General features: G+C 39.6%; 1 protein-coding gene across 33 annotated transcripts in view; it reads right to left on the bottom strand.

Annotated features, from left to right (window-relative positions):
- Positions 1 to 14,505, bottom strand: part of SULF1 (sulfatase 1) — a 194,132-nt gene that overhangs the window by 94,788 nt on the left and 84,839 nt on the right. For 30 of the 33 annotated variants that reach the window (NR_182051.1, NR_182053.1, NR_182050.1 and 27 more), the window contains 2 exons: positions 2,514 to 2,586; positions 1,978 to 2,209 (listed from right to left, as the gene is read on the bottom strand). Coding sequence is in view for 22 of the 33 variants with exons in the window: in NM_001412835.1 (NP_001399764.1) it covers positions 1,978 to 2,149 (172 nt within the window). In the remaining 11 variants the exon portion in view is untranslated. Of the gene's footprint in view, positions 1 to 1,954; positions 2,288 to 2,513; positions 2,587 to 14,505 lie in introns of those variants that run through there. The other 3 variants (NM_001412841.1, NM_001412842.1, NR_182055.1) reach the window with 2 other exon arrangements.

Raw genomic sequence — 14,505 nt, 5'->3', positions numbered from 1 at the left:
AAGTGGAAGGGACAGGCATGGAAGGCTATGGTGGAATGAGCACCATGCTGGAGTCGTGTTCTCGGGGTGCAAAGGAAAGTTCCATCAATGCTGCTGGAGGGGAGGGTGGTTTTGTTTTGGGAACACCAAGCGCATGACATGAACTGGGTTATGAAGAACAGGTAGGGTTTCTCCAGGTGGGGAAAGAGGAAAAGGCAGAGGGGATGAGATGTGCAAAGGCATGGATAGAGGCGAGGGGGGTGAAGCCACCAGACACCTTTGGGGAGATGGCAATTGTGTTTATGAAGCACAGAGTGAAAGTGGAGGAAAGGGAAACAGCCTTGGGGACAGGCAGGGGCCGCAAGGCTCAGAACTCATTTGCCCACAGAGGAGAAGGGCATAATCTCATGGCAAAGGGAAACCACAGAAGGGACTTAAGCAGAAAAGTGATCTGATCAGAGAGATACTTGAAAGATAACTCTGGCAATTGAGTGAAGGGTGGGCAAGAGAGGCCAAGACTAGAGGAGGCAGGCAGGCCAGGTGACAAACCGGTGAGGGAAAAACTGGGAAAGATGAGAGGATCCAGAGATCTCAGCTGTAGCAAAAGCGATGGATGGGTGAGATATTAAGGAAGGTGAGTTCAGGTGTGAGGTCAAGCAGAGGGCAAGGATATGTTTAACATTGCAATCCTCATGCAGAGACTGTGCTATTAACACATTAGGCACTAAACTAACTTGAAATGGACCCACAAGGCTCTAAAAAAGCTAAAATTACTTGCTCTGTAAGTGAATGAAAACATTTAAACCACCACTTACATACATACTAACATCATATGTGCTAAATACACACTCATGTATGTGTGACACCTTTCATTTTGGCCTGTCGCCTGAAAATCAATACCCTTGTTAAAAAAAAAAAAAAGTTGGGTTGACTCCTCAAACCAACGTCAGCAATAATGACATCTGCTGGCTTTTTAGCGCATTTGCTTCCAGCTGAACCCAAGGAATTAACTTTACTGGGATCTCACCGTCTGGTTTCAAGTGGGAAAGCAAAGTCCCCTTCCATGGAGACCAAGTGCCAGCGTGAAGAGTTTTATCCTCAAGAACCTGAGCCTCAGGAGCTCGGTAAAGAAGCCCAGCATGCTCTGCTAGAAGATTCAACTACCAGTCAGGTTGAATGTGATGGCTAAGCACAGCTGGGTGATGCCTGAGAGCAAGGAATTTGGGTTCAGGAAAAGAAATGAGGAGTGGTAGTGACAACTTCTAGGGGCAAGCTTTCTATCTGCCTTGCACTAGGTGGACTAGAAGAATTGGCCCTTGGCTTATGAACAAGACCGTAGGGCTGGGCCATTGAAGACGGTGAGAAGGTAAGAAACCCAGTCAGGTGATATAGAAGGTAAGTTAGAATCACTAGATTTTGGCAGGCTTTCTGGGTGCTCTACGCTTAGCCTAGGCAAGCTAAATAAAAAAGCATCATATCTAAGGTAGTAGTAAGTGGATTCTCTACCAAAAGACATATAGAACACTGCAACTTTGAATTACCTAACAATTACTATAACAAACTGTGAATAAGTAATCCACTCTAATACTAATAACCACTGAAAGTTCCTTTAGTATCAGTCTATATTCATATCCATTGCATAAAATTACAGTCACATCCTCATACTCTTTGAAACAACTTTGCCCAAATATTTTTACAATGTCTTAACTGAGGGCTTTCAATCCTTTCCTTCTACAGTCTTCAGTGCTGACCCTCTTTCTCCATTGTCCTACTCCCCCAGGCCCCTTCCCCGACCATTTCAAAAGCATAACATCAGAAAAGTAATGCTGAAACACAAACCAAATGCCTTATGGTCAATACAAGTTCATTGCGTAAACTAGGGTGTTGGTTAATGTGCAATAATTAAGTGCAAAGCCTCAGAATGTCTCCTGATAATCCTGAGACTCGAGAAATCATCTGAACAAAAGAGACTAACAAGTGAAGAGTCCAGTGTCTCACCCAGCTCCACATCTTGATCATCGGTAAGCACAAGAATAATGTTGGGTCGGATGTTTTTTCGTTCCTGCTGTATCCGTCCTCTGAACCTCGGGGATCTGACAGTCGAACAGAGGCTTCCCAGCAATTCTGTGCCCAGGACAGCCAAAACCAGAGCACAGCAAGAATACTTCATTGTATTTGGTCCAATGTTGCAAAACTGACAAAATGTCTCCGTCTCCTGATTTCTGGAGTTCTGGGCAGTCAGAGAAAAACGGAGACGGTGAGACTAAAATGAAATCCAAACTCCAAGCACAGTTGCAGAGAAAGGGCTACAAATAAGTCAGTATTGGCACATAAGCTGGCAGAGACAGGGTTGCACATGAGTCAGAAATAGCAAACCCTCACAAGTGCTGGGTAGTTTTTTAAGCACTTGATTATTTTGCAAATTCACTTTTGTCCTTTATTCTCATTCCAACTTTTCCTATTTCAATTCATTGCCAAAATAGAATTTCCAACACAGAGCTCAAATGTAAAAGCTTTCTGACGAGAGCTAATACCTTGAATTAGGTATCCTGGTTGAATAATCAATCTCTATTCTCAGAGGTATTCAGAACATCTGCAGATAGGGTCCTGGAAGGGGGAGAAAAAAATACAAAGGAAATATCAGTCAATGATTTTAAAAACAGATTTTCGATCTGAAGTAGTCTCTTGCAACAGCATATTATATGTGTATATATTACATATATTTTTTCTTCTGTGCTCCAAAAGGGAGGAACAGAAGGAAACAACTTTCAGAACTGCTAACAAATGATTCAAATGCTATCTTCATTTCATAATCAGCTCCATAAAAGGGTGGTAAGGTATCACCCTGCTCACACTCTGACAGTACTTTACACATCCCCAACAGAGCTGACGATCGATTAGGAAGAGCCAGCAGTGCCAGGGAAACCACAGAGCGTTGGGAACGAGTGTTTGCATGTGGGGAGCAGATGGCGCAAGGGGCATGTTGGGGAGCGCTGACTCACCTGCGTGTGATACTGAGTACCTAGCAAGCAGAACGAAACACACACCTGTCATTTGTCATCTGCATTATATCATTCTCTACCCCGGAGAGTCTTTTCTGCTGACAAAGACTTCATAGTAAGTGACTGGGACAATTTTTTCCAGTCTCTGAAAACCTCCTCACTGTCCCCCATCAATCAATCACCAGAAGGAAAAGGTGCTTCCTCCGTGCAAGGCTGGTTCCTCTGTCCCACTCATGTCCTCAGCTTGTGCCGGCACCTACGTGGACAGAGCCCCCTCTCGATTGTCAGTCACCAGGCTTATTGTTGGTGAGACTGGTAAGGCACAGATAGCACAGGGGTTTCGCTTTGTCACAGATCTTAAACCTGCAAAGCAAAATGATTGATTGGCCCCGAGGCTGGAGTCAGCGGCTACCCTTCCGCATTAAAAAATAAATAAATAAAATCCAGAAGGGCGAGCTGCAAAATCTTTGCAAAGCTGCACAGAAGGAGGCTTTTGAAAGGGTTGGAAAAATGCCCCTCTCACTTTGGAACACTAACCTGCTGAAAGCTTTTCTCTTGGAAAGATAGCAAAGGGCTCATTAAAAAAATAAAATCTTCCTCTCATATGTCATGAGGGAACATCTTTATGGGAATTTAGGCTGCCCTAAAATTAATTAGATAGCAGTCTGTTTCATCAGCCACTCAGTCCCCATACACCTGAGAATCTGTATTTTGATCTGCAACAATAAACTGGCATTGGATAAGTAGGCATAACTAATTAAGTGTAAGCATCGCATAGCAGGAGGAAAGGGCTCCATCTCTCAACTTCATGCCCTTAATTCTGGAAGGTGACAGGGGGTAGTGAAAGAAGAAAGACTGGATATTGTTTACCCCTACCATACACATTATTTTGTTTTACACAAACACACACACGTATCCCCATTATTTTAAACTTTATGAGCTGTTTTGTAAACAGTTCTAATGCTTTTCACTCTGCAGCCTGTAATTATACTGCAAGAGAGAGAAAGAGACAAGAAGAAATCGGTTTTTAAACAAAACTCTAGTGTCTGCAGCCAGGCAGTCCTGACTACATTATCTGCAACAAACAAGACAGCTCCAATTGATAACGCAGCCCTGTAGAAGTCACTAATGTAAGATTTGGTGCTTTCTTCTTAATAACGCAGGGTGATTCCACAGTGATTGCTGTACATGCTGAACACTGAAAGCCTGCAATTATTCTGCACTGACTGTTTGGTTTCTGTGCATTTGTTTTAAATCGTGAGAAACCTGATACAGGCATGAAGGGACAGGAAAACTAAAGTAATAAAATGATAAACAATGGCTTGTTCTCACAAAGCATGGGTCAGGCTAAATAGTTAAATACAGAAATTTCTTAGAGGTTGGTTCCTTAAGTAGCAAAAACTTTGCTCACCTCTCAAGGCCTGCAGAGGTGTGTGAAGGGAGAGTTTGTGAAGAGGGCCTTTGTGCATCCACTATACTGTAAATGAACCCCTGCTGATGGTAGCAACCAGGTAGGAACAGTTACAGGCTCACTGCGTTAGACAAACAGTGGCATTTGAGTTTAAATAATCAGCAATACAAGAAGCTGAAAGTTCTTGACAATTCAGATGCTGATAACCTTTGCTGGAACCCAATCAACATTGCTAGTTATTCTTTTCTTTATCTTATTTACTTTACTTCTTCCTTTAGGAAAAAGCAAATTAGCTTTAATGATACCTTTGTATAAACTACATCAAAAATCATTTCCTAATATGGAAAAGAGAGAGTGGTTTTTTCCTATGAAATGAACTTCCTTTCTGGTGAATGAAAGGTGCAGAAAAGATCTACATTTTTTTCTGCCACAGTGTATCTTATTTTTTTAATTAAAATTTTTATTTTTATTGACAAATGATAATTGTATATATTTACAGGGTTCAATTTGATGTTTTGATATATGTGTACATTGTGGAATGATTATATCAAGCTAATTAACATGTCTATCTCCTCACATGCTTATCATTTTTTTTGTAGTGATAACATTTAAGAATCTATTCTGTTAGCATTTTTGAAACATACAATTAATTCATTGTTATTAACTGTGGTCACCTTGCTGGGCAACAGATCTTTAATGTTTATTCCTCCTGTCTCACTAGAACTTTGGAACTTTTGGTCAGCTTCTTCCCACCACCACCAACATTCAATTCAGGGAATTCATACCTACAACGATATACATTAAGTGGTCAAGAAAATTGAATTTTTTGACTAGTCTGGCCAGCACGAGTCCTCTCTCTATCTCACCTTCCTTCACTAAAACACACAAAACATGCCACTCTAGAAACACTGCACACAGACAATTCTTTATTCAAAAATGACCTTTTAAAGCCTGTCATCCTCTTAACTGCCTGGTTTCCAGCTCTAGAAGGAAAAGAAGTAAAGAAGGGAAAAAAGTCCTGACAGACAAAATGCGGAGCTTGACAGAAGAGACAAGGATGCAATGTTTGAATTGGATACTTTGTGGGGGACAACAAGAGTCCTTAGAGACTAACAATTTATCTTGAGAAAGAGTAGAAAATGAAAGAAATGCAGAAAGGTTTTTCTTATACATACAGAGTGAGTTTGAAGAACAGTGTTCTATTCTTCACCAGTCAAGACCAGGATATAAGTTGCTTTTACTCCAAGCCATAAAATGAAAACAGCAGTTGTAGTTATGGTCAATTGGTGTGGAAAGTTTACAAGACTTTGTTTAGGGTGGCTTAGGGCCGTCAAGCCAAACTATAAAAGTGGCATTAAATGTTTCAAGTCACATGTAAAAGAAAAAAAAAAAAGACTGGCAGGATGTCCAGCCAACTGGATAGGAAGTTTAGGTCACATATGTTTGTTCCACAATACCCCAATCTAAACTGAAGCCCTGTTGCTCCCAAAGGTTTAAGGGGACCTCTGTCTTCCCCAATCCCCACTTTGGCTGGGCAGCTTGGTGCTAGGTCTCTAGAGGGGATGGTGGCCAATATATCAAAAGCACCTTGCTTTTGTCCACAGCAGCAATGTCCAAAGTATAGTTTGGGACGTTTGGAGGACCCTGTGACCCTTTTGAGAGGTTCATGAGGTCAGAACTATTTTGATAAGAATACTGACACATTATTTGCTTTCTTCACTGCGCTGACATTTCTACAGATGGCATAAAAGCAATAGTAGGTAGAACCGCTTTCCGCTTTTGTCTTAGCATGAATGATAGAAGCTTCACATATAGTAAAAACAAACAAACAAACAAAAACAACAACAAAAAAAACCCAGCTTCACTTAAGATGAAGCAGTAAAACCACTAATTTTATTAAACCTTGACCTTGAGTACACATCTTTTCTTTTCACTGTTGTGTTTTCTGAGATAAGAGGTTCACACAAAGTCCCTTGGTGGCTGGGGGAGTATGATGGCTGTCTTGAGGAAAAGCATGAAGGTGGCTGAGCTGCAAGCTAAAGTGGCTTTAAACAAACAAACAAACAAAAAATGAAACACTACTTTTACTTAAAAGAATTTTTTAGACTTGGATATTTGGCAGACATTTTCTCAAATAATGAATGAAATGAGCCTATCATTTCAAGGGAAACAATTGACAGTGTTTGTTACCAATGATAGAAATCTACCTTTCAAGTTAAAATTAGAATTCTGGAAAACTTGTATACTACACTTGGCAGACTCCCAATAAGTAAAACTTTTTCTGATGACAATGGTAGTGATGTTAACAAATGTTATTTTTTGATATTGTAAAATGAAATGAGTCAACATTTAGAATATTCGCATAGTTCAGTGAACCAAATTTCCCAAATAATCACAGTGCTACAAAATCTTACATGAATAAAAAATGCATTTGAAGTACAAGATGACCAATGGATTCTATTGTAACAGAATGAAAAGTTCATTGATATGGCTTCAGATTTCTTAATACAACTAACCTTTAATGAATTATCACTTGCCAAGTTTTGTTGTAGTATCAGAAAATATCTATAAGTATCTGAAAAAGCTATTAAAATGCTTCTACTTTCCAACTACTTATTCATGTGATTCTGGATTTTATTACTGTACTTCAGCCAGAACAGTGTATTTCAACAGACTGAATGTAGAAGCAGAAATAAGAATTCGACTTCCTTCTTTTCAGATAAACATTAAAGAGATTTGCAAAAATGTAAAATGAATTCATAATTTATTCACAATTTTTTTGTTTGGAAAGTATAGTTTTTTTTAATAAAATATATCATTTAGGTTAACATATAATAGATTTATTATTTTCAAAAGAATCAAATATTTGAAAATTTTCTCAGTTTTCACTTGTAAGTATTAATAATTATAATCCACATAAAAACTGTTGGGGCAAGGGTCTTCAATAAATTTTAATTATATAAAGGGATACTGAGACAACCAAAGGGTTTGAGAATTGCTGGCTTAGAGTGTACCTTGTTCTATAGTTAAGCCCAGACTCTCACATTTAAGGCTGTAGGTCTGGCCCTAGTCACAAGCTTCTCATTTACTTTTTTTCCTTAAAGCCTTGAAACTGTCCTCAGTTCTAAATGCCTGGTCTCAGATAAAAGTTGTTGATGAGTGATAAAATTCTGTGTTTTTTATTACCCAAGGATAACACAAAATTTTACAAATGAATGCCCATGCATCTGAAGTATGCAAGGGACAGGGTCAGAACAACCCACTCGCCACAGAAATAAACCTCTCTTGGATGGGGCAGAAGAATTATTTCTAGTACAAAGCAATGGCACTTTATAGTTAGGCCAGAGAAAAAAGGGACACCATAAGCAGTTGAAACAGCAGGGGCAGGGGAGATTATGCAGTTATGCGAAGCTGAATTTAGCCAGAACACGCTTAGATTATTGTCAGAGGCAAGCGAAGTAGAATTACACCAGCAAGAAGCTGGTACCCACATCTCATCCTCCCATCCTACATTGCTGTCTACATACATTTCTTAGGATCAGTTAACATGGCCCTTTCCCCTTAATTTTGGCTTTTGAGTCTCCCAGAGATTACTTCTTTTCTTTAGAGTAAGGCTTCAGGATGTGCTATCTTCTTTATAAGATACATGAATCCACGAAAAAGCTAATTTCTTCTTTTAACAACCCCACAGCTGGCAAGTTCACCTACTGTTAATCTCCAGAAAGCCTGTTTCCTGGTCTAATTTACTACAACTCCAAGCAAAGAAGATAGACAATCATCCCCTCCTGGTGTAGTAACACTTTTATTCTCCTCCAATAATAAATCCTCTTCCAACAAACAATGACAGCTGAAAAGTGTATGCCTATGACCTGGAACACCTGTGGGGAAATATTTGGCTAAATGATGAGATCTTCCTTTCTCCTCTCCTCCTGCCACACAACACTGTGAATCTTGAAATTGGAAGGAATCTTCAAAGCTCATCTATTCACACAGTGGTGAGTGCTGGTTATCCCTGGTGTATGGTGAGGGAGAGGGACAGATTTTATTTTTTGGCTTAATTCATATATATATTGAATTTTTTCAATAATCTGTTGCATTACAAAACATAGAAATAAATAAACTTAAGTTTTCTAGGTTTTCTCTCTGTCTTCTCAGGGAGGAAGAAAATAGATGGAGTTGAAGAGTGGGAAGGATGAAGTGAGGGTTGAAGAGTGAGAAGGATGAAGTGAGAAATGTGCCTTTGAGACTCTGCCTCATAAAAGCAGGTACTAAAACCATATAAAAACAAGCTTCCGAAGGGCATTTTAGAGAATGCATAAAGTCCAAATTAAAATTTGTCCAGCTTCTTTCAGATGAAATTAACAAGACAAAGGAAAACAAAGTGATCTAGATATTATGAAAACCACCAGAAGAACTCAGTATTCCTGAAGCATATGTTACAAAGTGTCTAAAGGGACTAATAATGGTCATTGGTGACCAATTGTGGTCCAAATGATCAATGGTTTCAATGGTGGCAGTGAGATCCAAGAGAATGAGAACGAAGAGACAACTGGATTTCCAAAAGAAGAGGCATTGGAAACTTCAGGTAAAGTGGATTTGCATGAAATACTATGCAGCGATAAAAAGGAACAAGATCATGTCCTTTGCAGGGACATGGATGAACTTGGAAGCCATTATCCTCAGCAAACTAACGTAGGAACAGAAAACCAAACAGCACATGTTCTCACTTATAAGTGGGAGGTGAATGATGAGAACACATGGACCCATGTGGGGGAACAGCACACGCTGGGGCCTGTTGGGGGTTCTTTAGGGTTGGGGGAGGGACAGCATCAGGAAGAATAGCTAATGGATGCTGGGCTTAATACCTAGATAATGGGATGACATGTGCAGCAAGCCACCATGACACACGTTTACCTGTGTAACAAACCTACACATCCTGCACATGTACCCCTGGACTTAAAATAAAAGTTGATGAAAAAACATAAAGTGGGTTTGGGGGAAGGGCAGCGATATTGTTAAAAAGAACTAAAATGTGGTCTTGGGCATCTTAGCTAGGTCTTAAAATATAAGGTTTATTACATTAAATTTCATTAAATTTGCCTTTGGTTTTATATATCTATGGCTTATTTGTACTGAAGTACCTTGAGATATTGCATTAGTCAGCAGAAGTAGTTTGTTGCAATAACAAAGAAATTCCAAATATGATAAAAGCATATTTGTCACTCATACTGCAAGTCACACATAGAATGGCAGAGAACTCTGCTCTGCCCAGCCATGCATGGATGCACACTGATGGGGGCAGTGTTGTCCTGTTGCTGCAATAACTAGACCAGGAAGCAAGGGAAGAATAAACTCAAGAATTGTGCAGGAGCTTTTCAGGGCTTCAACCTGGAAGTGACCCAGTTCACTTCTAACATTTCATTGGATGAGACTAGTCTTGTGGCCCCACTCAACGGCAAGGACACTGGAAAATTTAGTGGACCAAAGTGTTTGCTGAGCACTAATGTCTATGCCACAAACATTACATTTCACTAGTACCCCATTTCTTTCTCTTTCTCTACATGCACATACCACACACACACATACACGTGCATATGCCCACACACATACTTAAGATATGTGTATAAATATATATACCCACACACAGACACATATCTCAAGTAACGAAGAAACATAATCTTTCTCACAGTATAAAGTTCAATCATTCTTAGACACTAAAAATATACTTTCGACAGATTCGGGGATTTTTTATACATGTTTCGTTTTAGTCTGTTTTCCTGATGTACATAATCTGGCGCAATGCAAAAATTTTTAAAGTTCCACAATTCTTGAGATACATTTTAAGTTGAAGTAAATATTTTTAAAAAGACAATTAGATGGTATATTTATGTTTTGAAGGCATTTCTGGAAACACTATCTTGTACTACGAGAAATGGTTTCGAAACATAAATATACCATCTGAAAATCATTTCTCGAAATACTATCTCACAGTCGTATGTAGGAAGAGGAACACCTGACTTTACTATATAAATGAAGCTGCAGTCAAGAGAACCCCATTGGCATACTTTTTTTTTTTTGAGATGGAGTCTTGCCTGTTGCCTAGGCTGGAGTGCAGTGGCAAGATCTTGGCTCACTGCAACTTATGCCTCCCAGGTTCAAGTGATTCTCTTTTCTCAACCTCCCAAGTAGCTGGGATTACAGGTATGCACCACCACACCCGGCTAATTTTTATATTTTTAGTAGAGACGGGCTTTCACCATATTGGCAGGCTGGTCTCGAACTCCTGACCTCAAGTGATCTGCCTGTCCCGGCCTCCCAAAGTGCTGGGATTACAGGCGTGAGCCACCACGCCCAGCCCACTGGCCTACTTCCTATGCCATCAAGTTCACTGCCAATATAATGCTCTCTAACTTCTTTGCAGGGCTAAACACAGCAGAGTGGGGAAACAAGTTCCTTCCTCCTTCCCTTGGCCTCCCGCAGAGGCAGATAGAGGACCAGGAAAGAAAGCTCTGGGAAACAGTGTGAAGGAGGCATTCACATTTCAAAAGACAATTCTAGTTCCTAGCTCAAGGCAAATTATGGAGATTAGCTGTATTTTTTTTTCAAAATGTATTACTTACAGGAGAACCTTAAAAAAATCAAATATCCTATTAAAGCCAATGCCTTTGCTTGGAGACATTTTCAAGGAAACTTTAAAATGCAGATCAGTTTATGTATGAAGTTTTTTTTTTTTGTTTTTTTTTTTTTTTTTTTTGAGATGGAATCTCGCCCTGTCGCCCAGGCTGGAGTGCAGTGGCGCAGTCTCGGCTTACCGCAAGCTCCGCCTCCCAGGTTCGCGCCATTCTCCTACCTCAGCCTCCCGAGTAGCTGGGACCACAGGCGCCTGCCACCACGCCTGGCTAATTTTCTGTATTTTCAGTAAAGACGGGGTTTCACCATGTTAGCCAGGATGGTCTCGATCTACTGACCTCATGATCCTCCTGCCTCGGCCTCCCAAAGTGCTAGGATTACAGGTGTGAGCCACGGCGACTCACCAATTTCTTTCTTTCTTTTTTTCTTTTTCTTTTTTTTTAGAAAGGCTAACAACTCAAGAGATACAACAGGAGATTTCTAAAACCATAACTTTCCTAACATTTATAGATTCAAATAATGAACCTGTAGTGTCTTGAAACTTTATGACATCTGTGTTAGTTTACTGGCTGGACAGAAGTTGGGAAATACTTTAGCTAATAAAAACTTAGCATTTTATTCTAATGTTACAAAAAAGTAACCTTTATGAAGTTTTATGCATAAGAATTTATAGAATGAAAATTTTAAGAGCCACATTAGCATCCTAAAGTGTTACTTATATGTAAAATAAATCTTCCTGAAAAGGCACATATTATGATCTAGGTCCAGGGACATTTAAGGCAAATTTACACTTACTGTCACTGTGGAGTATCTCTATAAATAGATGTTTATAGGTGGACCAGTCCTTAGAATTCTTCCGTACAAACACCCAGGGGTGTTCCACTTCCAGAATTTATTTTCTCACTCATTACTCTACTTTGTTTTAAACTTTCATTTCTCAGCATATGCAAGAACAGCACTTGTCACACAAAGGAGCTGATATAATTAAACTGGATGATGGGCCCCACAAGTAAAGCCAGCCATTCATGAAAGCTGGTCACCAGAGGCCATTTCAAACAATGCATATTTTAAAGTCATCTAAAGTAATCCCTTCTCTCTTCTGACTTGGTTTCCATGAAGTCTCAAGCACATGTGTGCTGCAAAAAGGAGGTTTATTAAAACCTGATGTGATATTAGAGATTACAGTGCAACAGGGTTGGGCTGATTTTAATATCTCAGTCTTCAAAAAGAAAAGCAATCTTTAATAATATTTGCAAGCTTACTAAAACATCCTGCATAGAAAGGAAGATAGATGATGTTTATTAATTAAGGAAAAACAAAAATAAAGACTGCACTCATGTTCTCTTGATTAGGGTATATATAAAATTTGCATAAAAATTGAGGGGAAACTAAAACAGTTTTCAATGATGGGTGGATTAGCCAAACACAGCAACTATTTCCAACAATAGTGAGGAGCTTGGTTTATTTGGAAAATGCTTTATAAAGTTGTGAATCTGAAGCCTAACATTCCCTTGGCTCGCTATGGTGAAATATGAAATGTGTCATAGAACAACATTTGTCAATTTCAAAATATTAATAGTTGCCATCATTAATAGAAGTCTACTAAGTCTGGCTGCCTGCAAAGTTTACCAGGGCTCCTAAAGTTTACTGAGGCCTCCAGTCCTGGTGGACTTCTAGATGTTTTCTTAATTTGCTGGTTCTCTCTGATCTTTGTTTCTGTTTCATAATTGTATTTAGTTTCAATCAGGGTTGAAAACACAAAGGCTTGGATTTGACATGCGTCTGGCCCTCCATATCAAGATCTCTTGCATACAGCATATCCTTGAAGTACACACGAAAGGATAAATGTAAATGATCATAAACTGTTTTTGTGAAATCATCAAAAATGATGCTCTGGCATGCAGGCCATCTGCTTTCTGCTTTTTCTCCTTGGAATATGGCTTCAGGGAAGAGATCATATATGAGAAAGGAGGTTAGCAAGCCTGACTTTGGAGAGCTAATGTGAAGGAGGTGTTCTGGAAAACACCTTGTGGAATCTCTGAGTCTGAAAGGGATCTTAAAAGTTCACCTCCATCAACCTTTAATGAATAAAACCTCTCACTCATCAGTGAATAGTGTCCCTGTGTAGGTAACAAGGGACTCACTAGGCCACCTGTTTAGTTTAGGGTGAGATTTAAGATTAGGAAATTCTCCCTTTTATTGAACAAAAATCTGCCTTCCCCTCTCTTCTAGATGCTTAGTCATGCTGTATTCTTCTGAGCCACACAAAATAATTCTACATTTTTTTACATAACAAACGATTTAAATAATTCAAGATTGTTTCTATCTATCTCCTAAATCATCTCTTACAGAACATACCTATGTGGTGGTTTACTGGTAATTATGGGAGAGAGTTGGAAGGGATTGTTTTTAATGTGGCCATTGGTTGGTTAAGTATTGGATCAATAAATCCTGTAAAACTGTAGTTACACAAATAGCAAGCCAGCATATTTAATGCCCATCTGGCTCAAAGGGATTTTGACTACTGGACTACTGTAAATCAATGCTTTCCAAATTCACTAAGAAAAATGTCCTTATGTACCACTACTTTCATATTTGGACTAAATCCAAATCAGAAATCTTCCAAAATTTGCATAGTTAAATTGCTAATTAGTTTTATTGGAGAATAAAGCCAGGCAAGAAAGATGAAGATCCAGGCTAGAGTCATAATCTTAGTACTGATTTTTTTAAAATTCCTTGACAACTTACTGACTTCCTTCTAGCAATTAGATTTTGAGGAAGCTTTTCTTCCCAAAAGAAACATCTTTACCACACTTGGCTCCTAACTTCAGAATACTGGACACTTTAAAAGAGCTACGCAAGAGAAGGACAACCCTTAAATAAAGGCCCTAGGCTCAAGTACTTAATTCATAACGTGGAGTAGGGGTTCATCAGAATCATCTAGAGGTCTTGTTAATTACTCCAGCATTTTTGATTCTGGGATGAGACCTATAAAATTGCTTTTTCTTTGAGACATAGTTTCACTCTTGTTGCCCAGGCTGGAGTGCAGTGGCGGCGATCTCAGCTCACTGCAACCTCCACCTTGTGGGTTCAAGTGATTCTCCTGCCTCAGCCTTCTGAGTAGCTGGGATTACAGGTGTGCACCACCATGTCCAGTTAAGTTTTGTATTTTTAGGAGAGACGAGGTTTCAGCATGTTGGCCAGGCTGGTCTCAAACTCCTGGCCTCAGGTGATCCACCCGCCTTGGCCTCTCAAAGTGCTGGGATTACAGGCATGAGCCACCGCACCCGGCCTTAAAATTGCATTTCTAGCAAGTTCCCAGGTGATGCTGATGCTGACAGTACTGGTCTAGAGTACAGCGATCAACCCACTAGCACTAACGAAAGGAAAAGTGAAGCCCAGACAAGTAGGTGTTGCAAGTCTCTTCCGTGAAGGCTGACTCCTCAGACCTTCGCATGGGCTGAAGCAGCTAAGCATTTACAA

This window comes from Homo sapiens, chromosome 8 (assembly GCF_000001405.40).
Source record: "Homo sapiens chromosome 8, GRCh38.p14 Primary Assembly".
Taxonomy (NCBI): domain Eukaryota; kingdom Metazoa; phylum Chordata; class Mammalia; order Primates; family Hominidae; genus Homo; species Homo sapiens.
The sequence above is the reverse complement of the archived record's forward strand: the minus strand, read 5'-3'. Positions and strand labels throughout refer to the sequence as shown.